At 42.9% G+C, this 24,896-nt stretch overlaps 1 pseudogene across 1 annotated transcript in view, besides 5 other annotated features; it reads left to right on the top strand.

Moving 5' to 3' along the window:
* Positions 3,626–4,131: an enhancer, noted in NCBI's record as "NANOG-H3K27ac-H3K4me1 hESC enhancer chr2:87303801-87304306 (GRCh37/hg19 assembly coordinates)". NCBI's record gives its function as "activates a minimal SCP1, AML or CMV promoter by ChIP-STARR-seq in primed H9 embryonic stem cells {active_cell/tissue: H9 hESC(primed)}" and the evidence as "EXISTENCE:reporter gene assay evidence [ECO:0000049][PMID:30033119]".
* Positions 4,396–24,896, top strand: part of ANAPC1P2 (ANAPC1 pseudogene 2) — a 45,739-nt pseudogene continuing 25,238 nt past the window's right edge. Inside the window, exon 1 of the transcript NR_026846.1 lies at positions 4,396–4,890. The product of NR_026846.1 is annotated as an ANAPC1 pseudogene 2 (transcript). The remainder of the gene's footprint in view (positions 4,891–24,896) is intronic.
* Positions 4,426–4,485: a silencer, noted in NCBI's record as "silent region_11725". NCBI's record gives its function as "represses an Ori minimal core promoter by ATAC-STARR-seq in GM12878 lymphoblastoid cells {active_cell/tissue: GM12878}" and the evidence as "EXISTENCE:reporter gene assay evidence [ECO:0000049][PMID:35858748]".
* Positions 4,906–4,965: a silencer, noted in NCBI's record as "silent region_11724". NCBI's record gives its function as "represses an Ori minimal core promoter by ATAC-STARR-seq in GM12878 lymphoblastoid cells {active_cell/tissue: GM12878}" and the evidence as "EXISTENCE:reporter gene assay evidence [ECO:0000049][PMID:35858748]".
* Positions 5,116–5,195: a silencer, noted in NCBI's record as "silent region_11723". NCBI's record gives its function as "represses an Ori minimal core promoter by ATAC-STARR-seq in GM12878 lymphoblastoid cells {active_cell/tissue: GM12878}" and the evidence as "EXISTENCE:reporter gene assay evidence [ECO:0000049][PMID:35858748]".
* Positions 5,296–5,365: a silencer, noted in NCBI's record as "silent region_11722". NCBI's record gives its function as "represses an Ori minimal core promoter by ATAC-STARR-seq in GM12878 lymphoblastoid cells {active_cell/tissue: GM12878}" and the evidence as "EXISTENCE:reporter gene assay evidence [ECO:0000049][PMID:35858748]".

The raw sequence follows: 24,896 nt of genomic DNA, 5'->3' as shown, positions 1-24,896 counted from the left end.
TGCATAAAAGCAGAAGGTTTTTAAAAATATAATTTCTCAAATTTAAGAGATGAAATTTTTCCTTTTTCTATCTTGTCTCTCTCTGGTTTCAGTCTTCTAAGAATAATTCAAAGTGAAAATATGTATGAGATATGTTGAATAAGCTATAAGCTAGTGTAACAGCTATTAAGCATTTTAAAAAGATGTCAAAAGCAGTTCTAAAAACTGTTTTTGTTGTTGGAGGAATGTTAAGAGGACAACAAAAGCTGTTTACAAAATAGTAAATACAATGAGAGCGTTCTTTCATAAAAATGTGCATATGAGTTTATGTGTATGCACAAAAAAGAAAAAAATCTGTGGAAATTCACCCCGAATGTTAAAACTGATTTTCTTTTTCTGGGTCTTGGGCTTTCATGGGACTTTTATTTCTGTTTACTTGTTTGTATTTTCTAATTTTCCTACAATAAATATGTATTTTGGCTGAAAGACAAAAGGTTTTCTTTTTCCCGTCTTTTTTTGATGTTTACTTACATTTTACAGAGTCAAATCTGGAGTGGAGGGGAAGACAAGAGCAAAGTCCAGAATGAGTATCAATTAAAGCTTCTCCAGGCTGAACAGCATGTGGGGGCAGGAGTCCACTTGATACTAAAGTGGGATTTTGTGTGTGTGTGTGTGTGTGTGTGTTCTTCCTTATTGTGTGGTGAAAATGCAATTATAGAAAACTAATTTGCGCGGCGCGCGGTGGCTCACGCCTGTAATCCCAGCACTTTGGGAGGCCGAGGCGCGTGGATCACGGGGTCAGGAGATCGAGATCATCCTGGCTAACACAGTGAAACCCCGTCTCTAGTAAAAATACAAAAAAAAATTAGCTGGGTGTGGTGGCGGGCGCCTGTAGTCCCAGCTACTCGGGAGGCTGAGGCAGGAGAATGGCGTGAACCCAGGAGGCGGAGCTTGCAGTGAGCCGAGATCGCGCCACTGCACTCCAGCCTGGGCGACAGATCGAGAGGCTGGCTCAAAAAAAAAACAAAAAAAAACAAACTAATTTGCAGTTGCTCTGAAAACTAAATTTCTTTCCCTGTTGTTTCTAGAGGTGCTTCTTTGACAATTCACAGTTTAGGCTTAAGGCAATTAGGCACTGTGTAGAAAGGGCCAATACAAAGTGAAGAAGCAACATAAATCTCTGCCCTTACAAGTACTATTTTTCTCTCCCAGCTAACTCTGAAGCCTCTTCTCCTCTAATCTGCGTATTCTTTTTCCTTTAACAAACACTTTTTTTCATGCTGATTAAATCATGGGAGATAAAAAGAAGTCAGCCCAGATCTGAAAACTGATAGTCTAGTTGAGTCAAAAAGGCACATGTTGGAAAAGTTAACTAAAAATATGGGGGCAGTATGCACTAAGGCATGAAATGACTTACACAGAGGTCTTACAGCAGTTAAAGGTAGGGCTGGTAACTTTACTGTGGTCATGGTCTAGATCAGCACTGTCCAACAAAACTTTTCTACAGTGATGGAAATATTTATTTTGCGCTGATTAATACAGTAGCCACCAGCTACATGTGGTTATTATTTGATATGTGGTTAGCACAATTGGGGAACTAAATTTTAAATTATCTAGCTTATATTTCAATTTAAATAGCTACACGTGGGTCGGGTGCGGTGGCTCACGCCTATAATCCCAGCACTTTGGGAGGCTGAGGCGGGTGGATCACGAGGCCAGGAGTTTGAGACCAGCCAGGCCAATATGGTGAAACCCTGTCTCTACCAAAAATACAAAAATTAGCTGGGCGTGGTGGTGTGTGCCTGTAGTCCTAGCTGCTCAGGAGGCTGAGGTAGGAGAATCACTTGAACCCGGGAGGCAGAGGTTGCAGTCAGCCGAGATCCCACCACTGCACTCCAGCCTTGGTGACAGAGTAAGACTCCATCTCAAAAAAAAAAAAACACAAACAAAAAAAAAACCTGCTTGTGGCTGGTGATTATGGTATTGAAGAGTGCAGGCCTAGGTTCTAGAAGGTGTCACTAGTTAAAGTAAGACTTGTCGTGTTACTTGAAGAAAGGGAGGATTCGAAAAACAGAATAAAGAAAAGTGTCCCAGAAGAAGGCAAAGTATGAATGGGCTGTACTCAAGTCACACTGAGGGTGAGAAAGTGCTTCATGCCTGGATAGGGGTTTGTGCTGTGTTGCTACACAGGGCAGACCATGTCCTTGAGAGAGGATCTGAAGCTGTAGGTAATGAGGAGTCATTGATTATTTGTGATCAGTGGATTATCATGGCTCTTACCTTGTGCCAGGCATTTTGTTGAGTGCCTTAAATGGAATATTTCATACTATAACAACCCTTTGAAGGAGAAGAAAAAAAAAGACTGAGAAAAGGGTGACTGAGCTTATCAAGGAGATCCTTGAAGAAAAGGGAGGAATAAACATAGATTTGTCTAGGCAGTTTGGCAGTGAAAGAAATGAGTGCTTGAGGAGGGTTAAATTAAGTTTCCTCCCCCAGGTAGGTCAAACCCATTTGGGCTGAAAGTAGAAAGGAAGAACCTACTGCAGAGAAAGAGGGGGAAGATCTGGACAGGGGTGAGAGGCAGCCCGCAGGCCCCAACGGCTGTCTTGGAAAGGGAGAAGGGACTCCTGGTCCTTTGGGTACATGAGAATGTTCACAAAATGGGTGGTACACAGCAATACTTGGAAAAGAGTGATAGAAGTTGCTGGAGCTAGATTTTTTTTTTTTTTTTTAATCTCAGTGAAGAATCAGAGACATCTGCCAAGAGGGAAGAAAAATGGGGTGGGGAGAAGGGAGATCTGAAATAATACCAGTTGGGGCTGCCCTAATAATGACTACTACCACCTTTATCATGTGGTTATCATGAGCCTATTATGGGTATTTACATATATTCTCCTTTATCTAACAATTTAGTTAAGTATTAATTCCAATTATTTCTCAGTTATACGGAAGTTAAGGCTCAAAAACGTTATCACGTTAATTTAAGAAAAAGAATTGCCTACCACCTCATGCCAGGGGCTGTTCTAGGCAAAAAATTTAGACAAGCAGGGGGCCTGCCGTCATGGTTTTATGTAAGTGGTGCAGACAGAAAAATAAAACATCAGATCATTTCAGAGTTTAAGTGGTGTGGAAATAATAAAATGTGTTATGGTATTAACGGTGGGGAGGAAGTACATTAGTGTGGTCAGCCAGGGGAGGACTCTGTAAGGGGACAAGTGAGCTGAGAAGAACTTCAGGATGAAAAAGGTAGGAGGAAGAGTTTTCTGGGCCAAGGAAAGGGCAAGTGCAGAGGCCCTGAGGCACGAACTAGCTGGGCTCCTGAAGAAATGCAAAGGTAGTGCAGCCGATGCTGATCAAGGAGGTCTAGGCCAAGGCTGCAGACGCCATAGCAAGCGATGGGAAGGATTTACCCGAGGGGGTAAAGCCGATCCGATCCGATAGCATAAGGCTTCCTAGGGAGCAAGGGCCAGGCTGCCCGGCTCTCCAGCGCGTGTTCTTTCCACCCGGCTAAGCTGCCCGGCACATGGCTCTGGGGCGAGGCCACCGTCAGGAGAGGTTCCAGGCCAAGGGGCCAAAGGGCCACGGTCCGCGGGGGATGGGGACATGACCTCCTGGGTGTCGCAAGCCCGGGGCAGCGCTGACAGCCGGCGCGGGCCTTTCGCGAGCAGCAAGCGGCTCCCCTCACCCGGGCCCAATCACCCCCGCCTTTAATTCCCATTAGGGACCCCCCGCCGACGCAGAACCAGCCCCCGGGCGGCCTGGCTTGGTTTTTCATCCCGGGAGATGGATCCGTCGCCCAAAAGTTCGGAATGACGGTACCCCTTTCCCTTAAGATCGATGAGGAGACGAAATAAATTGGGATCAGGGCTACGTCCTATGGAAAACAGCCCTTTGTATTTTTGTCTAGTTTTCCCCCAAGGCTTTCCATAAACTACTCGTTTCTCGGTACGCTCTCCAAGTCACCCCCTCCAACAGCGAGCCCGTTGGTTTGGCCCCTCAGCCCGGATTGGCTGAAGGCTTACGCCTCGGCCAGGGATTGGCTTCTTACCACTCCCCGCGCCCATTGGTTGGGATTCCCCGCTTCTGGGCGGAGTGGTGAGGGCCGGTTTCCGCCTCCTTGTTTATGGAGCGCGTAGTTGTTGCGCTCTCCGAGCGCTGGGGCTGTCTCCAAAGTTCCCTATTTAGCTCCTCAGGCCAATTGGGGCCTCGCTCCACCCTCGCCCTCTCCCTCGCACGCCTTCCGTGTGGTACGGCGCACACCATTAGAGTGGCGGCGCGTGTGGGCGCCCGTCGCGTTCCTCCGCCCGTTCTCGCCGGGTCGCACCCCCCACCCCGAGGGTGTACTTGGTACGGCCCGCTCCGCCTCCTTTCCTCGCCCGGGTGGCCATCCCCCTCCCCCCAGTCGGCGGCACTTGGTGCCGCCCGGGAGAACCAGGTCATCGGTCGGTTCCCGTGAAAACAAAAACAATCGGCCGCGCCGTCGCAGGCACCCGAACGTCGCGAGCGGGGCCTGGGGACGCGGGGCCGAGTGCAGCGAGCGAACGGGAGCAGCGGCGACTCGCCAGGGGGCTAGGGCGCCATGGGGCAGGCGGGCTCCGGCTGCGCGGGGCTCCCCCGGCGCCGCGGCTAGTGCGCCCGCCGCCTCGGCCGCCTCAGCCTCCCGCGCCGCCCGCTTGGGGAACGAGGAGCAGGACGCGGCCTCGGCGGGGCCCGGGCCGAACGGCTGCGGACACCTGGGCGCCGAGGAGCCGAGCGCCGCCGCCTCCGGCATGGATCAGTGCGTGACGGTGGAGCGCGAGCTGGAGAAGGTGCTGCACAAGTTCTCGGGCTACGGGCAGCTGTGCGAGCGCGGCCTGGAGGAGCTCATCGACTACACCGGCGGTCTCAAGCACGAGATCCTGCAGAGCCACGGTAGGGCGGCCCGCGTGGGCGCGCGGGGCAGGGCCCACTGCCCGAGCCCCGGTCCCGGCCCCGCGGCGGGAATCCCTCACCCACCCTCGCGCCTCTGGCCCGGCCCTTGCCTCCCCTGAGGCGCGGAGGCCCCCAGACCCCTGAGACTTTTTCCCCTCTTCGTCCGATTTACCTCGAACCTGCCGCGACCTCGCTGCCAATTCAGAAGGAGCGCGAACCACCCGGAAACCCGGCCGGGAGCGGCGGGCTCCAGTCCGGATAAACGTGGGTGAGGGGGCCGCCCATCGCACCTGCAAACTGCCGACCCCCGAGTGGGCGCCCCTCGTCCCCCGCCCCCAGCCGGCCCCGGGAGTTTCACGTGGTGCCCGCGGCGCTGTTCTGCGGGCGGTGACTGAATCGCCTGGGACCCCAGGTTCTGAGTGATGAGGGCAGTGCAGGAAGCTCCGTTTCCCCTCTGTGCCGCCCCGAATCATTGGCCAGGGGACTTCGTTTCTTCGTTTTATTTTGGAAAGTCGAGCGTTATTCTTAGCTGTGGGTTAACAACAGCCGCTCCTGCAACTTCATGATTTGGCTGCTGTGTGGACGCAGCTCTTAACTCCGCAGCGGCTCTGACATGGTTCCTTGGAAACCAGCTCAATTCAACCCTTCTGTTCTCCCAGTGTACCTTTTGATGACACCGAGGAGGAACGGGCGACATTTGCCCAAGTAAATGGTGCACATGTTGCTAGTTACTTGCTTTGCCTGGTTAAGTTCGTTCAAAAAAAATAAATTTTCCTATAGAAGACGTTTCACCTAGATTGTTTTTTTTTTTTACTGCCCCAAGCCCTGAGGACAGGTACTTTTAAAGGTTTGGTTTTCTTACAGTTTAGAAGTCACAGCGATGATTCCTTTTGATCAAGAAGTAAAGGACTTATTTAGTGGGTCTTTAATAAGAGGCTGAGGAGGCTTTTCAGCTTGTGGGCTGAACAGAAATTTATGTGAAGGACGGTTTGGTAGCTGGGGGAAGATGCAGATTATTTGTGGCAGGTGAGATGAGGGCAGTGGCGTTAGCTGAGTGTCTCTCTCCTTCTCCTTCATTTTTTCACACTTTCCCAGACTGCGTTTCAGTTGAGGATGGGTGCTGGTCCATGGGAAAGGAGTCTTACAGCAGCTTCTCATTCTGGACACTGCAGTCATTTTTGAACTCCAGGAAGGAAGCAAACCTGCAGTCATAGTGGATGAGATTTTAATATGGAAAAACCGTATTAATTCTCATAGGAGTTGCAATACTAGTATGGAAAAACGAGCAGACCTTGGTGGCTGCCTGTGAAGGGAAATTTGACTGACGTGGCGATGATGATATAGTTGGTAGATACAGGGAAGTGAAGGTGGAATGGGACAGGAATCCTGGGAAGACTTTGAATTTGGTTTTGGACATGTGAAGTAAGGTTGAAGGGCTTAATGAAGATAGAATCGAGGGCTTTCCTATTTACTGGTGGCTGGAGATGCATAGGTCTAAGATTGTTTTCTGATGTCATTTCTAGGAGGACAGTGGAGGGGATCACTTAGATTGCACAGAAGAAAGACTAGAGTCTAACCACAGTCTTGAATTTTCCTTGGCGAGTGGAGAGCCAAGGCTAGATAGAGCCAGCAGAAATCGAAAAGGGCGAGGACTTAGAAAAGGAGAGATTGGTCAGCTTTTATTTGGCTATTGGGAGTCAGTAACCCTCTGTGCTTGCAGTTTCATAGAATTGCTAAGACAAGCCAGATTACTGGGGGTTAAGAAGAAAAATTCGATGTGAACCGCGGTGTGGGAAATCCAGTACAGCGGTGGGAGGTATTCCCTCTGTGCTCCCGGCCCTGCCAAGGAACCAGTGGAGGAAGAGAATGAAGGGCCTAGACTTGGAGAGGTGGAAGGAACATTTCGTTTTTAGGGACCAGGTCATAGGCAGAGTTTGAGAGGAAAATGATGGAACAGAAAGTACCTTTCTTCCATGAGAGAGGATGTAAGTTGAAGGGGGATGTGATTGTGAGCTTTGTTTTAGAAAATTTAGGGCCAGGCTCAGATGGATAAAATGATGGTGAGAAATTGCTGAGGCAGGAATTTGTTTTTGACTCTCCACTGGGTACTAGGGAACTTTTCTCAGAATTTATGGTTTGAGGGGTATTGGCCACACAGTATGCTATGCTGTTAAAAACAGTCTGAGTTGGTGAGTTTGTGTGTTCCTTTTTCAGCCTCCTAATTTTTTCCCTCTTGTCTACCAAATTGCTAGTCTTATATTGGTATCTCTTTGATTTCCTTTAATTCTTCAATAATAGGATTAAGTGACTAAAGGTAGTTATAAAACATGAAAGAAAATAAATACCACAAGTGCCAGGTCTAGTTTCCCAAATAAAATCTTTCTTCTTTTGGTGTTTTTTTGTGTAAAGGTAAACATCATGCTTTGGCATCTGGGCTATGGTATTTTTGAAAACAGATGATTTCTAAATTAAAGTTCTCGGCAGGTGATGTGGTAGATATTACATTGAAACTTAAATATGCCCTTCTCAAAGGTATTTTACTGAAAACTGAGTTTGGAACTCTATTTTCAAGTTTAAAGGGAAGATTTTTGGGCTTCTGAATATACCTGTCTGGGCAAATGATTCTGATAACCTGAGAGGCTCTAATTGGGACCCCTCTGTCAGGACTTTGGACCTCATTCTCTGAGATTACTTGTGGTAATACTTGCAAGAATCTGGTATGAATAAAACAGAATTTTTGAGGACTATATAGAACACATCATTGCATCATACTGGTGAATGACTGTTGCAGAAGCATCCTTTAGCCAACCTAAAGGGATTGGTTCAGTTTCTGAGGATGAATGTTTTATGTTAAAATTTTTTTTTCATCTCTGAAGTTGTGAGCAGACAGCTATATACTAAATGAGCTGTTAGGATAGTTTGTGATGGAAACTGATCATACATAAATAAGAGTTTAGTTAGTAAGCCCATTGACAACCCTTTTCTAGTCTCAGCACCCTTATTCCAGATTGTAAATACTGCCTGATTGCTGGCTGGGAGATAGTCCTGCAGTGAGCCCTAAAATTTCTCAGGTGGTCTAAATCACCTTTAAGTAGCTTGAAATTCTTTTACATAAAATTTCTCTCGTTAATCTTTTTTAAAATGCAAGTTTGTTAATGCAGATACACTTGGGGAAATGAGGATAGTATGGGCTGGTCTCTCATACCTGGTGAATTGGTTTGTGCTCTGCCATTTAATCCACCTCTGGCCAAATCCATCAGCCTGACAACAGGAATATCTTTTTTTTTTTCTTTTAAATGGGGTTGGACTGGTATCAGGCCTGCAGCAGAGAACAATAATGGAATATAAGGCTCTGAGAGGGAAGTGCAGGCTTCGACTTGGTGCCATAGACAGTTAGGGAATATTGGTGGTTCAGGGACAACATAGGTGTAATAGAAATATGAAGAGGCAATAAGAACCAGGGAGAATACTGAAGAGCTCTGCCGAGGCCAAGACATTCCTCTCCCTGGAGACTGACTCTAGACTTCTCTTCATGCCTTTGGAATTAGAAACCTTAGGGTGGTAGATAGGAGGGTGGGGAGTGATCCAGAGCCTGCAGTGAGGTGTCCAAGGTAAGAGGAATAGAGATCACAGCTTCTGTCATTTAGTTGTGCCAGCCTTTCAGTGAGAGTTTCCCTGTGAGCACGAAGTTTGGTCTAAGTTCATTGTGGTTAATGTAGGCTGGTGGTCATTCCCAGTGTGCCTCGATCTAATTTGTATAGTGCACTGGTGCTTCTAAAACTTCACTCATACACATGTGCACTCTTATTTTTCAGATGGATTCACGATTTTACTTAAGTAGATTTATCTTAGGCAGTGATATTTGTGTAGTCCTACATGTGGTATGTAGGTATTAGGTATAATAAACTACATGTTAAAATAAATTCATAACAATTAAAATATTAGTTTACATACTAGCTAAAATTACCATTCGCATCAGTGGTATGGGAGCGGTGCTTTGGATAACCCTGGCTTAACAGGGTTAACTACTGTATGGTTAACTTTTAGTGATTTGATTTGTGAGTATATGCCTTTTAGCATTTTTTTCCTATTGGCAAATTTATATTGTTTCCCATTAGCACCTCTGTGGTGGAAGGGAAAAACAGAAAAGAACTATTTATCATGTTTTGCTGGTATTCTGCACTCATACTTTGTGAAAGAAAATTAGGCAGAAACAGTTGGTAATGGTTTCAGGACACATTTAAAAGTATACTTGGGAAAATTGCAGTTTTTGTAAGAGTAAAGGACATGCAGTATTCTTTTCTGATTATTTTTAGACTAACGGAGTTCTAATGTGGTTTCTGAAAGTGACTTTCAAGGAATTTTCTAAATTTAAAATTTATTTATTAATTTTTAGTAAGTCATACATTCAAATGGTATCCATTCAAACAATGAAAAAGATAACCCAGTGAATAGTACATTCAAATGGTATAAACTCAAATGATAAAAAAGACACCCATTGAAAAATCTTTCTACTCTTGTTCCTGGACCACCTGGTTGCCCACTTCACAGACATAAATGCCAGTCTCCAGAAAAAAAATTTTTTTGTTGTTTTTTGAGACAGCCTCCCTCTGTCACCCAGGCTGGAGTGCAGTGGTGCGATCTTAGCTCACTGCAACCTCCGCCTCCTGGCTTCAGGCAATTCTCCTGCCTCAGCCTCCTGAGTAGCTGGGATTACAGGCACCACCTGCCACCACGCCTGGCTAATTTTTGTATTTTTAGTAGAGACGGGGTTTCAACATGTGGGTCAGGCTGGTCTTGAACACCTGACCTCAAGCAGTCCACACGCCTCGGCCTCCCAAACTGCAGGGATTACAGGCGTGAGCCACTGCGCCCGACCTCCAGAAAAAATTTTAAAAGAATCCAGTGAAATGACGATTTGTCACTTTTCCTTTTTTCTTTAACGCATCGGATATGTATTTCCATTTACTATGATTAAGGCTTAGTGTTATCTCACTTTGCAAGTTGGTAAAGATGTCTTCATCTGTGGGAGTGATCAACATATACTGTATTAGCACCTAAAACTCCTTTGGTGTGTGTGTATGTTGTGACTTCTAGTAGTAAAACTCATGTAAACCATAACTCCTACCCTTATCTCTTCGGTGAATCAAAGAAACTGTTGAAACTTTGGTTACCAGTTGGAGAACTGCTGTCTTTTTAAAAATGTGAAGGTAACAAATGAGAAGGTAAGTAGGCAAGTAAAACATGAAAAACAAAAAAAGAAACTTGTGGAGGTCACGTTTTTAACTCATTGCTGTGGTATGATATTGCATCAGTACACAGAAACCAGAGGTTGAGGGTCGCATGTTAGGTATAATCTTCCAATCTAGAATTTGGGTTGTGTATATTAAACACATGTGTTGAAAAGTATGCTTATTTGTATATATGAATGATCTGTGCTTTTTCAGAGCCGACCAGTGTTGAATATATTGTTTTGAATGAAAGTAAATGTATTATATCGGGGCTTGGTAGACTTGTAGCTTGTTTACCTTTTTAGCCTTATTCTTTGGTGTGCATGGAGTAGGCCTCATAGCCAGGTTGCCCATTTGTTACCCAGACTTTTGCTAAATACTAACAAGACACTCTTGAGAGAATAGTGACTTTGTTTTGAATACAATTTGATATCTGTTTTTAACATCTAGTCTGGAAAATAGTATATCAGTAGGTCATAAATAAAAGTTTGGGTGGACATTGTTCAAACATTCTAAGAGAAGAACGGACTGGTTCTCAAGTTATTTAGGCCATTTTAGGTGGTAAGAATAAAAAGTCAGTATATTGGTGTTTCCAGTTGGGTTTAGAAGTAGATTTAACTTTGTTAGCCATTCTTTTTCCAGACGTACTCTGGAGATAATTAATTCTTTTTTATTTGGCACCATATTCATTTAGACTGGCAGGTGACATAATAGTTTTCATTAAAATGGAATTTGTTGATGTATAAATAGGCTGAGGTTAGGGCTAGGCTGGCTCCAGGGGCACCAGGCATGTCATCAGGACTGATCTTGTTCTCTTCTGTCAACTGTTGGCTTCATTTTCAGGGTAGTTTTCTTCACATGGGGTAGAGATGACCAATGGAGCTCAAAAGACAGGAACATGGCCATTTTGTTGGAGATACTCCAGGGAGTACCTTTATTATTCCGTTATGGATCCTTTCCCTGAATCAGTAACTGGGACCAGGGAGTGAGGTCTTCTGGCCACCTTGAGCTGTGCTCACCCCCTCAGGAGGTATATGGCCTTATAATACACTGTTCATCAGGTAAAGAGACAGTTCTAGAAAGGAACACTTAAACCCAGACAGAGTAATATATGTCTATTACAGTGCAACAGCTACATGTTATATCAGTAACATTCTCTGAGATGTTTTCCTGACTAGCCTCGCCTTCTCAGCTTTTGCCTGGCCTCCTAACTATAATGCTCATATAATTCAAGTAGTGAGTTGTTAGTATGACTTAATCTATAGACTAGAGAATACAACTTGGTTCATGTTCCTCTAGAACTTTTTTGAAATTACTTTAATGCTTGACATAGTAAAGTAATTTTCCTAAAGTTATTTTATTTCTAAAGTAGTTTCTAACTCTGGATAATAACATTGGTAAGGAGAAACTTGCCAACACTTCTGTGATACTGTCATACTAGAGCTAATAGAGAAGTTTCTGTTGTTTTCATGTCTTAGTCTCTTAGTCTTTAGGATGATGAAAATGGTGTTTTAGCAAACTGTTCACTTGGAATATTAAAACTAACTTATTTTTATTTAGGGCCCTGCTTCTTCATCTGTAAGGCTTCCAAAGTCTTTAAAAATGATCCAAAAATGCAGTTTAGGGAGAAAATTATGGAGGGCCCTGGCTCTGAGCTATGTGTACTTGGAGACCCGTGGTACTTCCAGGAGATGATGCTCTCTAACTGGACGTTTCCTTGAAAGCTCTGAGAGTAGCAGACACTTCTGGCCATTCTCTTTAGATTAGATGTTAACTCAACCCTTCAGAGAACAAAGACTAGACTGTCTGGCAGGACTCGAGGATTTTGAGAAATACAGTATGCTTTCACCTTATATGGGTGTGGTGATTGTGTGGCTGAGCTCAAAATGGTTGTTTGGGAATGTCGCTTGGAGAGGCCATAGGCTTATATTACCAAGTCTTTCTCCACTTAAGATGGAGGCCTGGATGGTGATTTCGTCTGTTATGGGGGCACAATGTAGTGTCAGGCTGTGTGTTATTTATGATGAGTTTGTTGTATCTGCAGAATTCATATAGGTTTAATTCATCTTATTGATACATGAAGACATTTGGGAGGAGTTGAGGAGAGAATCTTTTAAAAGAAATTATTCATGGCCCTGGTCCTCCAGGAACTTGGAGGCTAATTGAGAAGTTGAATCTGTATTTGTGGAATAGTACCTAAAATTTTGACCCTGGGCCCAGGAGGTCTGGGTTTGAATCCTTGCACTGCCAATTTACTGGTTCTACAATCTTTTTTTTTTTTGGAGACAGAGTCTCACTCTGTCACCTAGGCTGGAGTGCAGTGGTGTGTGATCTCAGCTCACTGCAACCTCTGCCTCCAGGGTTCAAGCGATTCTTGTGCTCCCAAGTAACTGGGATTACAGGTGTGCACAATGCATGGCTAATTTTTGTATTTTTAGTAGTGACGGAGTTTCACTATGTTGGCTAGGGGGATCTTGAACTCCTGGGCTCAAGTAATCCACCCGTCTCAGCCTCCCAAAGTGCTGGGATTACAGGCATGAGCCACCACGCCCGGCCTGATCCTACAATCTTGCTTAGCCAGTTTTTCCTTCAGTAAACTGACATCACAGAGTTATGAGAGTGAAATAAATAATAGACGTGAACTGGCTTTGAAATTTGTAAAACAGGGTAGACGTGTTATTTATAAAGTCTGTGCCTTAAGTGGTGTTAAGCTTTTTTTTTTTTGAGGCTGAGTCTCGCTCTGTCACCCAGGCTGGAGTGCAGTGGCATGATCTTGGCTCACTGCAACCTCTGCCTCCCAAGTTCAAGCGATTCCCCTGCCTCAGCCCCCCGAGTAGCTGCGATTACAGGCGCATGCCACCAGGCCTGACTTTTTTTTTTTTTTTTTTTGTAGTAGAGACGAGATTTTACCATGTTGGCCAGGATGGTCTCGATCTCTTGACCTCGTAATCTGCCTGCCTTGGCCTCCCAAAGTGCTGGGATTATAGGCGTGAGCCACCACGCCGGGCCCAAGCACTGTTTAATTGAGACATTTTGGGTAATATTTAGGTGTCTTTATTACTGGTTTATGTTAAATACCACTCTGTGTCCAGTGGTCTGCTTAACATTGTAAAGAATGCTTAAAAGGTATAAGAGTCTTTAAGGAACTTAGAAGTTAGTTGGAGAGACCAGACTCATATTTGAAAGGGGGAAAAAACAAGACCATGGCACACAGTGTGTAACAGTGCTTCTGGTTAGTACAGACACCAGTGAAGAGAGAGAGCCCTTAGAAAGAACTGCATGGGAGTAGATGGGCATTATTTCAACTGAACTTTAGATCACCTCATCAGTAGTTATTAATCACCATTTATAGGTAGAACTAAGCAAAATCTTCTAGGAGTTACAAAGAACAAGCATTTTCATCCTCTAAGAACTTTGTGTCCAGTTAGGGAGATGAGACTGGCATTTTTTAACAAACACACAAACAAAAGCAGTGCCCTGTAATGCACGGTTATGTATCTAGGCTAGATGCTACATGAGTGGTGTGGACAAAAAGGGGTAGGATTTGAGACAAGGAGAGACTCTTTTTACCTATGGGAAGTTTTAGTAGCAGAAATTGAATATGGATAGCAGAAAGAGCTATATGGAGTGCCTGGAGGGGAGGATGGCAAGAACAAAGGTGTAGAGGAGTGAGAGGTGAAGGACCAGATTGCAGGGGAAAGGCGATAAGAGCATTAAAATTAAATTGGAATCAGGTTTTGTAAAGCCATGGATACCAGGGAAAGTAGTAGACTGGGAAGATATTGAATTACTTTGGGGTGGGGTGGGGACATTTTGAATAGGGAGGGGACAGGGACACGATCAGAGACCAGTTGTCAGCAGTATTTAGGTTGGTTTGGAGTTGGGAGTGAGGTTTGACTAGAGGCAAGAAGGTTAGCTAAGGCTAAGTGTCAACCTAGATTTGATGAAATAGGGACCTGTCTTTGGGTACTGGTGGTAGAAATTTAAAGGGACACATGAAAGGGATTTCTGAGGGAAGGAATGACCAGGAGTTGGTGCACAGATGGAGTCTGGCAGAGTAGGAGAAAAGGGCAGGAAAAACCAAAGGTTAATCCAAGGTTTTAAACATGAATGATGGGTAGATCATTATGGAACCAGGTAGAAAATAGGAAGTTTAGGAGAGGGGAAGGTGGAAATCTGAGTTTGATTTTTTTTTGTTTTTGTTTTTGTTTTTTTGGGGGGTGGGGGAGGGGGGGTCTCATTCTGTTGCCCAGACTGGATTGCAGTGTCTCGGCTTACCACAATCTCTGCCTCCTGGGTTCAAGTGTTTCTTCTGCCTCAGCCTCCTGAATAGCTGGGATTACAGGCATGCGCCACTACCGCCTGGCTAATTTTTGTAGTTTTAGTAGAGATGGGGTTTCACCATGTTGGCCAGGCTGGTCTTGAACTCCTGAACTCAAATGATCCACCCACCTCGGCCTCCCAGAGTGCTGGGATTATAGGCGTGAGCCACTGCACCTGGCCTGAGTTTGATTTTTAAATATGAAATCCAGATTCCAATGCTACAGGAAACCTAATGTGGTTCCACCATTCATTTCAGAGATAAATGAGATGCCTAGAGATTAAGTCTTTATATTTGGAATTTGAAGGGAGTGAATAGGTTCTCTAAAATGTGACTGTCACAGACATATGTTTAAAATCTTGTGCCTGTATCTTTTTTCTTCTCTCTGCAATTCTTGCCTCATATACTTTGAAGCCTTTCCTGTCTTCTCTATGATAGTCATTGATACTGTTCTTTGCTCCAGGAGCACTATTAGTCTGTACCATGTAATTTCACTCTAAATATTAACTTTATTTCGTTTTTTTCCCCTCATGTTTGGTTTGCAGCACACTGTGCCTCTAATTTGATGCACAGTCTTTAATAATCTCTCTGGATCAGAACACGTGTCTGTCAGTCTACTGTTCTCTGAAAGGTCAGGAGTTGAACACCAAATACCATACTTTCTTTTACTTTGCAGATTTACCAGCTACTAATATACTGGAAAAATTTTGTTTTCAGTGTTTACCTCCTCCAGAAAAAAATGAATGTGTTCTATTTGTGCCTTTTCTCTTTCCTCTAAGCAGCCGCTGTGTCCTAGGTGCTGAAGTAGCTCACAAGAATCCCAAATTTCAATGGGCCGCAGTTTATTTTACTACAGACAAAATGAAATAGTCCCTTATTTTTAAAAAATTCCAACCTTACCTTTTCAAGTTTCAAGTTTTTCTATTCTAGTACTTCGCAAGGATATCCATGGTCACCTTGTCAGTGACTTTTCTAGAGTCAGTCTTAGATCTTTTTATCCTTTATCTACTTTATTCCCATTCTAAATTTCTTAAATCTGTGTAGAAATTGGTAACATGGGAAAAGTATCTTGAACATTGCTGACACAGGCCTTCAGCACTCAATAAATGTTAATTGACTCTAAATGTCATAGTTCTCCCTTTTACATTTTTTTCTGTTTTTTCTTGGTTTCATTTTGTATTTTAAGGCATCAAGGCTTTTATAAGAGTGGTATATCATAGATTTCCCCCCCCACCAGCCTTCTTAGTGATGCCTAATACTCTTTTAGCTTTCTGATTTTAGTGTTTTTATTTAAATAGCTAATCTAGAATGAATTCTGGAGTATATCTCTATGAGGTCTGAGTTTTCATTTAGGTACAGTTAGGTTTGTTTCCTAAATGGATTTCTTTGTATTTATCTGCATCAAAACTTGTGTTCCATTTTGCTTTCCACTTAATTCTAAATTTAAGATCTCTGTCCATCTTATGAAAGTGGAGTTAACTTTTCATAACTCAGAAGAGCTCAAATGCGATACATGTAATATTTATAAACTTGGATATTTTAAATTTTTACTGCCTATAGGATATTCATTAAAATGTCAAGCCAGGTCTTAGTGATTTCTGCGGAATCTTATTTCTGTGGAAATATTCCAGTCTTAGGTGGTGATACTTTCAACCTTCTTGAAAATCATCACCATAACAATACTTTTTTATATTGTGCCTCCCTATTTTTTTATAGAGTGCTCTCAAGTATGGTGGGTCTCATCTCTCATGTGTTTGACTCGTGGGCAGCATGTATTTCATGGTGTAATTGACACCTTTAAACTGCCTTTTATAGACCAAATTAGAACTTTTTATTATCTCCTGATGGCAGACATTTCAGGCTGCAACATGGTGTGCTGCCTACCAACCAGCTGTTTAGTTTTAGCAATGCTATCTTTAACAGTGTGTTTGTGCAGAGTTGAACCCCCTCCCCCCATATCATAAAAATAAGTGGCAGACAGAAAATTAAAAGTGCAGATACTGAGTAGGGATGAGAAACGTACTTGTCAATATTAATGATATATTTGTCTAGATTGTATTAAGGTGAGCCAAAATAGTGGGTAAATCTTGTCACGGAGCTGGACACGAGACGTGCTTTTTTTTGAGGCTTGTGATCAGTAGGGAAGAAAGTAAAACAAATGTATGTACAAAATGCTAAAAGTGTATTGAAGGTGTAACCAAGGTATTAGTAGGGATTTTATAGTTTTTAGCTTTGTGCAAACCAGTCACCCTTTTAATGTGTACGTTTGTTATACCTTCCTATATCTGACTTAGAATATACTTTTATAGGGTCACATTATATATTAGAGATGTTTCATTGCATCTTTGACAAATGTGGAAATAGTTTTGTAAAAAAGAAACTGTCTCAAAAGTGACTTGAGTCAGAGCACAAGCCCATTAATTCCTGGGGTTGGTGGGAGAGGTCATTATTTGGAAGAGAGAAGGAACTTATAACTGATGCCAGGGGACTCTTTTGTGAATGTGTCTTATTTGAAAATATGTGTGCATATGTGTGTTTGTATGTTTGTGTTGATCTTGGGTACTGTGACCTTGTTGAACTCTCATCTATTCTTGGATTGTGTTTGTGTGTAGATTCTTTGGGATTTTCTACTTAGGCAATAATGTTATTGACAGACAGGAACAGTATTATTTCCTAACTTACTTGGTATTTGCAGAACTTAGGCTGCAGTGTTACTGTGTAGCAGATGCTAAACATTCTGTGAGAGAGTGAGGGGTCAGTGAACTGCTGAGTGAAACTGCTGGCAATTTCAGAGGGTGTTGGTAGTACCAGACAGTCTTCAATGCTGGGTTTGAAATTGAGATTATGTAATACATAATTAATTATTTTCATATTTATTCTTTTGGTAACTAGTTACTGAACGTGTAGTATTTGCCAGTTACTATACTAAACGTTGGGGATTGGTCATATTTCCTACTAAAGTTAATTTTGTGGGAGTAATGGACAAATAACTATTTACAACAAAGTGTGAAACTCTGATAGGGAAGTATAGGATGCTATGGAAACAAACATTTTTCTTATTTATTGTTTCTGTGAAACTAGTGGGCATACATCCTAAAATGGCAAAGCAGTGAGGCTCAAGGGCAGAACTTGAAAATTTTGAGTGTCGTGCTTAAAATCTGTTTATATGATAAAAGGTGCTGTTCTATTTTATTGAAAATTTTAACTTAATAAAGCAACACACGTAGATGGTCTACATATGTTCGTTCTTTGCTTATATTGAACATGCTAATTCTTACACTTGTTTAATCATAAAACTGACTTTAAAAAGTACTTGTGACCCTCCAGTGATGAGTGAGCATTGCGTCAGAGTTGTTTCTTTCAGGCTCATGCATTGGGCCTGGGTTCCCTGGGTTTACTACATTGGAAGACACAGTTAGTGCAGGACTTTCTTCTGGGTGACAAGTGACCACCGCAGTGGCCAACCTGGATGTAGTTATGGTGGAGATGGCTGTCACAGTAATTCCCCAGCTTTTCTTCTAGGAACTGAATCCAGTTTCTTTCACATAAAGGTTCTCCTAGAAGCAGGTTGTGTTTTCATACAGAGAAATCAAAAGAACGTTAGAACTCTCCCAGTAGGACTTATAGAAGTTTGGTTGACTGTCAGTCTGGTCATTATAGCAATTTTCAAACCTGTTTTAAACCTTTGGCTGCTTTCCACTGAGTCCATTTGAAAATGCATTAGTGAACTCTTTCTCTCTTAACAGGGCTTTCCCAGGGTTCTCTTTCAGATTATTCCATTCTGCTTTTCTTGAGTTTCCAAATACCTTACAGAAATTATTTTTCCTTGGAGCATTCTGAGAACTCTCAGTATTAATTAATTGGCCATAAACTGCTTGTATCTGTCATTCATAAAATTGAAAACCAAAAATTAGAGGAATTTGTAGATGGTAAAGGAAGAAAAGGAGGTAACAAATAGCACCAAACTCCAGATATGTAAGTTACTACGATTTGAAAATATCATTGGATTTCAAGGTTGGTGCGTGGAAGTTCAGTGGTAAATTCTAGGTGACCTCTTTCCTCCAGCTTGGCTTCATCCTTTTTTATTTTTATTATTATTGTTTTCGAGACCGAGTCTCGCTCTGTCACCGAGGCTGCAGTGCAGTGGCGCAATCTCGGCTTACTGCAGCCTCTGCCTCCAGGGTTCAAGCTATTCTCTTGCCTCAGCCTCCTTAGTAGCTGGGATTGCAGGTGCTCACCACCACGCCCAGCTAATTTTTGTATTTTTAGGAGAGATGGGATTTCACCATATTGGCCAGGCTGGTCTCAGACTCCTGACCTCAAGTGATCCGCCTGCCTCGGCCTTCCTTAGTGCTGGAATTACAGGCGTGAGCCATCGTACCTGGCACCCTTTTTATTTTTTGTGTTTTTCCTACCTTGTTGTCTGCTGGTTGTAGAAATAAATGTGTCTGGATGGATAGGAGGTATGACTTCTTTTTAAAAACATTTTCTTTATTTCTGAAAGAAATCCAGTACTCATTAACAGTCACTCTCCATTCCCACCCTGTCTCCTCCCACTCCAAATACCATTAATCTATGTCTGTCTCTATAGATTTGTCTATTCTGTACCTTCCATGCAAATGAAATGACACAATATGTGGCCTTTTGTGTCTGGCTTATTGAATACTTAATGTAATATTTTCAAGGTTCATCTATGTCATAGTATGTATCAGTACCTCATTTCCTTTAATGACTGGATAATCCGTTGTTTATCCATTCATTCTTTGGAGGTTTGGTTTCTTACCAGTTTTTGTCTTATGAATAATGCTACTGTGAACATTCTGATTCAGGTTTTTGTGTGGACATGTTGTTCTTTTGGGTATATAACTAGGATATAACTAGGAGTGGAATTTCTGGGTCATATAGTAACTGTTTAACGTTCTGAGGAACTGCCAAATTGTTTTCTATGGTGTCTGCACCATTTTATATTCCACTAGCAATGGATAAGGCTTTGAATTTCTCCACATCCTTTCCAACAGTTATTATTGTGTTTTCCTGATAGCCAATCTTGTGGGCATGAAGTAGTATCTCATTGTAGTTTTGATTTTCATCTCATAATGACCAATAATATTGAGCATCTTTTTGTGTGCCTGTTGGCTATTTGTATATCTTCTTTTGAAAAATGTCTATTCAAATCCTTGACCTTTTTTTTTTGAGTTAGGGTCTTGTTTTTCATCCAGGCTGGAATGCAGTGGCGCAATCATAGCTCACTGCAGCCTCAGCCTCCTGGGCTCAAGGGATCCACTTGCCTCGGCCTCCCTAGTTGCTATGACTACTGGCATGAGCCACTGTGCCCAGCCACATTTTTGTATTTTTTTTGTAGAGACAGAGTCTCGCCTTGTTGTCCAGGCTAGTCTCAAACTCCTGGGCTCAAGTGGTTCACCTGCCTTGGCCTCCCAGAGTGCTGGGATTACAGGCGTGAACTGTGCCTTGTGCTTTGCCCATTTTTAAATTGCATTGTTTGTCTTGTTATTGTTGAGCTTTAAGAGTTCTTTATATTATTCTGGATACTAAACCCTTATCAGAATGTGATTTGCAAATATTTGCTCCCCTTCTATGAATTGTCTTTTCACTTTATTGATAGTGTTTGCAACACAAGTTTTTAATTTTGATGAAGTCCATTTTAATTATTTTTTCTTTGGTTGCTTGTGCTTGTGGTGTCATAGCTGAAAAACCATTGCCTAATTCAAGGTCAGAAATGCATCTGTTTTCTTTTAAGAATTTGATAGTTTCAGCTCTTACATTTAGGTCTTTATTCCATTTGAGTTAATTTTTATTTTTGATTTTATTTTTTTGAGACAGGGTCTCACTCTGTTGCCCAGGCTGGAGTGTAGTGACATGCTTACGGTTCACTGCAGCCTCTACCTTCTGGGCTCAAGCAGTCCTCCCACCTCAGCCTCCCTAGAAGCTTGGACTGTGGGCGTGCACCACCACACCCTGCTAATTTTTGTATTCTTTGTAGGGATGGAGTTCTGCCATGTTGCCCAAGTTAGTCTCAAACTCCTGGGCTCAAGCAATCCACCCACCTCGGGCTCCCAAAGTGCTTGTATTACAGGCTTGAGCCACTGCATTTGGCTCATTTGAATTAGTTTTTATATATTATGTGATTCTTTTGCATGTGGATATCTTGTTGTCTCAGCACCATTTGTTGAATATGGCTCTAACAAAAGCAAAAACAAAAACTATTTTTTCCTCACTTTATTTACCATCAATTCAGATACTTATATGTCTTGCACATTTGCAGGCACTATTAATATAAAACTGGAGTATACAATTTATAATAAGGACTTGGTCTTCCCTTGGGGGCTTATGTTTAGTAGAGACTGATGACGGTATATATACATGAAATTGTTAAAATGGGTTATAATTAAGTGCTGGGGGAGTAGGGGAGAGATCAGAAGTTACCAGGAATTCAGAAGAGGGAGTAAGTCTGTGGTCAGATGGGTTCATAGAGAAGATGAGGCTGTTGAGGTTAGGTGTGCTTTAGGTACAGAAAGATCAGAAATGGCCAGAACAGAGCTGCTGAAGCAATTAGATGCTTTTGGTCCAAGAAATCTGTGGAACACCTTTTAAACAGATTTTGAAATTTTCTTGAAGTACCAAGTCTTGCCTTAGCCTAAATTATGTTATTAGAAGTTGGAAGCCTAATTGTGTTATTGGAAGTTGGAAACACTTGATAGAAACTTTGTGCAACTGTATTTAGAGATAAGGAAAGCTTTTTTCTTATCTTTTCATTTATCTCAGTAGTTGTCATTGAACCAGACTTAATATAGTCCCTCTTCACAGTTCCCTGTAACCTTTTAGGATTTCTTTTCATAGAATTTTAGAGACACTATTCTTGTCATCGTCACTGATTACTTCCACATTGTAAATCCAGTGGCCAATTCTCAGTCCCCATCTTACTTGACCTAGTAGCACATCAACACAGCTGGTTACTCCTCCTTCCTTGACACATTTTCTTCTCTTGGTTTCCCCAACATTATACTTTTCTTGAGTTTCCTCCTCCATCACAGTTAGTGCTTCAGTAGTCTTTGTTAGCCTCCTTTTCCAGTTCTATTTCTTCCCAGCCTCATAAACTTGGAGTTCTCAAGACTCAGTTCTTTTATCACTTCTCTGTGTCTGTACTGACTCCCCTGGTGATTTCATATAGTCCCATGCATTAAGTATCATATATATATATATATATATATATAATGTCAGTGACTCACAAATTTGTATCTCCAGCACTAACACTGCTGTTGAACTCCAGGTTTGTATATCTCACCAACTCCTCCACTTATGCACTGCGGTGCCTACTCAATGTCTCAAACTTAACAAGCCCCAAACTGAACTTTCTCTCTCTCCTCTCCCCTCATACCTGCTTAGCCTTTATTCTTTTTTGGCAGGATGGGGAGTTGAGGTCTCGCTCTGTCACTCAGGCTGGAGTGCAGTGCTGTAGCTCCCTGCAGCCGAGACGTCCCAGGCTGAAGTGATCCTCGCACCTCAGCTTCCCAAGTAGCTGGGACCACAGTCGTGTGCCACCATGCCCAGCTAATTTTTGTATGTTTTGTAGAGACAGGGTCTGACTCTGTTGCCCAAGGTTGGTTTCAAACTCCTGTGCTCAAGTGATCCTCCTGCCTTGGCCTCCTGAAGTGCTGAGATTGTTTTTGTTTTAACTGAAGACAACTCCATCTTTCTAGTTGACCCAGGCTAGAAATCTTGGAGACATCTGTGAGTCCTTTTCTTCACTCATGTCCAGTCATGAAATCCTGGACTGAGCCAGTGTCATTTCTCATCTGGATTGCTGCCACAGCCTCTTATTTTCCTGCTCAGTTCTGGTACTCCCGTTGCCAGTTAGACTGACCATATTGAAATGTTTTATCGGCCAGGCATGGTGGCTCACGCCTGTAATCCGAGTACTTTGGGAGGCCGAGGCAGGAGGATTGCTTCAGCACAGAAGTTTGAGACCAGCCTGGGCAACATAATGAAGCCCTGTCTCTGCAAAAAATACAAAAATTATCCGGTGTGGTGGTGGGCGCCTGTCATCCAAGCTACTTGGGAGGCTGAGGTAGGAGGATTGCTTAAGCACGGGAAGCAGAGGTTGCAGTGAGCCCAGATTGTGCCACTGCACTCCAGTGTGGGCAACAGAGCGAGACCCTGTCTCAAAAAAAAAAATGTTTTTTGTGGGTTTTTTTTTTAATTAGTTTACATGCCTTCTCTGCTCAAAACCTTGCAGTGGTCCCTTTCAGTCAAAGTAAAAGCATAAGTCTTTACAATGCCAAAGAGATCCTACCAAACCAGGACCATTATCTCTTGGACCTCTTCTTCTATTTTCCTTGGCCAGAAATCCACTTTTGACATGCTGACCTCTTTGTTGTTTGAATAGTCTAGGTGTATTTTTGCAGTAGGGCTTTTCTCCCCGCAGCCTGGCATGCTTACCCCAAAGTAGCCAGCCACATGGTAATTCCTTCACTTTTTTCAAGTCTTGCCTCCAGTGTCATCTACTCAGTGAAGCCTACCATGCCAGCACTGTTTTGAAGTTGCGGCTGCTCCACCCACACACACTCCCCATCTCTCTTACCCTGCTTTTCTTTCCCAGGTAGCATGTATCATCTTTTGTCGTAGTATATAATTTGCTTATTTTGTGTGTTACGTCTCTTGCCAGAAGTTAAGTTGTTGGGAAGGGATTTTTGGTTATTTTGTTTCACTGCTGTACCTGTCATATATAGTGAGTGCTCAATAAATATTGGTTAAATGAGCAGGCATCCTAGGGCTGTTTTACTCTTGGGCTCCTTGTTTAAATTCTCAGGTTCCATCCCGGACCTATTGAATGAGAAACTCTGGGGATGGGGTCCAGCTACTTTGTTTTAACTTTAAGTGATTCTGATGTAAATTAAAATTCAAGAAGCTCTTCTATATAATGTTGGTTAGGATTTCAGAAACCAGGCCTGTTGCTTACAGGTGGGAATACGTAGATAGAGAGAGAAATGACAAATACCATAACTGGGTTTGTTTTATCTGTCTGTTTTTCTCCCTTCTCCTCCTTTTTTTCCTGCTATAGGAACAAAATTTGGAGGGAGGTAGCTCAGGGAAAGGATGTAAACTGTAGTAACTTTTGGTTGATCTCATGTGTGTCAGGGGTCTTCAAAACCACCTTTAGGTTCCAGTGATTCATTAAAAGGAGTCACACAATTCAGCATATAATCATACTCTTAGCTAGAATTTATTACAGCAAAAGGGTGTAAAGCAAAATCACCAAAGGGAAAAGACTCATGGGGCAGAAGTCCAAAGTCCAAAGTTAGGCAGTCCAGAGTTAGGCAGTGGGTGCCCTGGTGACCAGCCCCCAATAAAAACCCTGGGCACTGAGCTTCTAATGAGCTTCCCTGGTAGGCAACACTTAACACTTCTCACAAACCATGGCTGCAGGAATTAAGCATATTCCATGTGACTTCACTGGGAGAGGACTATTGGAAGCTTTCTCCAAGCCAGGAGAAAGCCAGGTACTCACTGCCTAGCATGTATCAACATTCTAGATTCCCAGAAGGAAAGCAGATGTTCACCATAAATCACACTGTACAACAGTTTAGGCACAATGAGCCATTCTTTTCAGCTAGGGCAGGGGTCTCCAAACCCCCGGGTATGGACCAGTACCCCTCTGTGGCCTGTTAGGAACCAGGCCGTGCACAGCAGGAGGCAAGCAGCGGTGAACGAGCATTGCCGCCTGAGCTCCACCCACTGTCAGATCAGCGGCAGCATTAGATTCTCATAGGGGCATGAACCCTGTTGTGAACTGCACATTCGAGGGATCTGGCTCACGTGCTCCTTAGGAGAATCTAACTAACGCCTGATCTGAGGTGGAACAGTTTCATCCTGAAACCATTCCCCCCAGCCCTCGTCCGTGGAAGAAATGTCTTCCACGAAACTGGTCCCTAGTGCCAAAAAGGTTGGGGAACACTGAGTTAGGGAGTGATGGGAACACTCCCAAACTCCCAGGTTTCTATATGCCAGCCAAGAGGTGACTTTGTAAGCAGGACTTTCTAAGGGTAGTAGTCTATGACCTGCTGTGTTAACTCCTTTCTGCACATCGTGGTACCCAGGGAAGTTTGTTTTCTTCTACCTCTTTATATGGAATATGAAGCATTTGCACTAAATCATCTCTCTTGAGGAAATTTAGTAACAACCAGAACGTTTTGAGAATGACTTGAACAGTGTAACTGGGTTTAATAAGTGAGTTTATTCACTTAGACATATTTTCTCAAAAATAATACTGCCTTGACAGTATTATTCACAGCCTGTGCTGGTTGTTGTAATGATAAAAATGATTCCTTTCACAGTAAAATTTTCTTATTTCCAAAAAATAAAAAAATTATATCTTTCTGAGTATCCATTTGAAAAATCACATCTATGAATGTGACCATCAGCTTCAAAGCAGATAC

This window comes from Homo sapiens, chromosome 2 (genome assembly GCF_000001405.40).
Source record: "Homo sapiens chromosome 2, GRCh38.p14 Primary Assembly".
In the NCBI taxonomy this organism is placed as follows: Eukaryota; Metazoa; Chordata; class Mammalia; order Primates; family Hominidae; genus Homo; species Homo sapiens.
The sequence above is the reverse complement of the archived record's forward strand: the minus strand, read 5'-3'. Positions and strand labels throughout refer to the sequence as shown.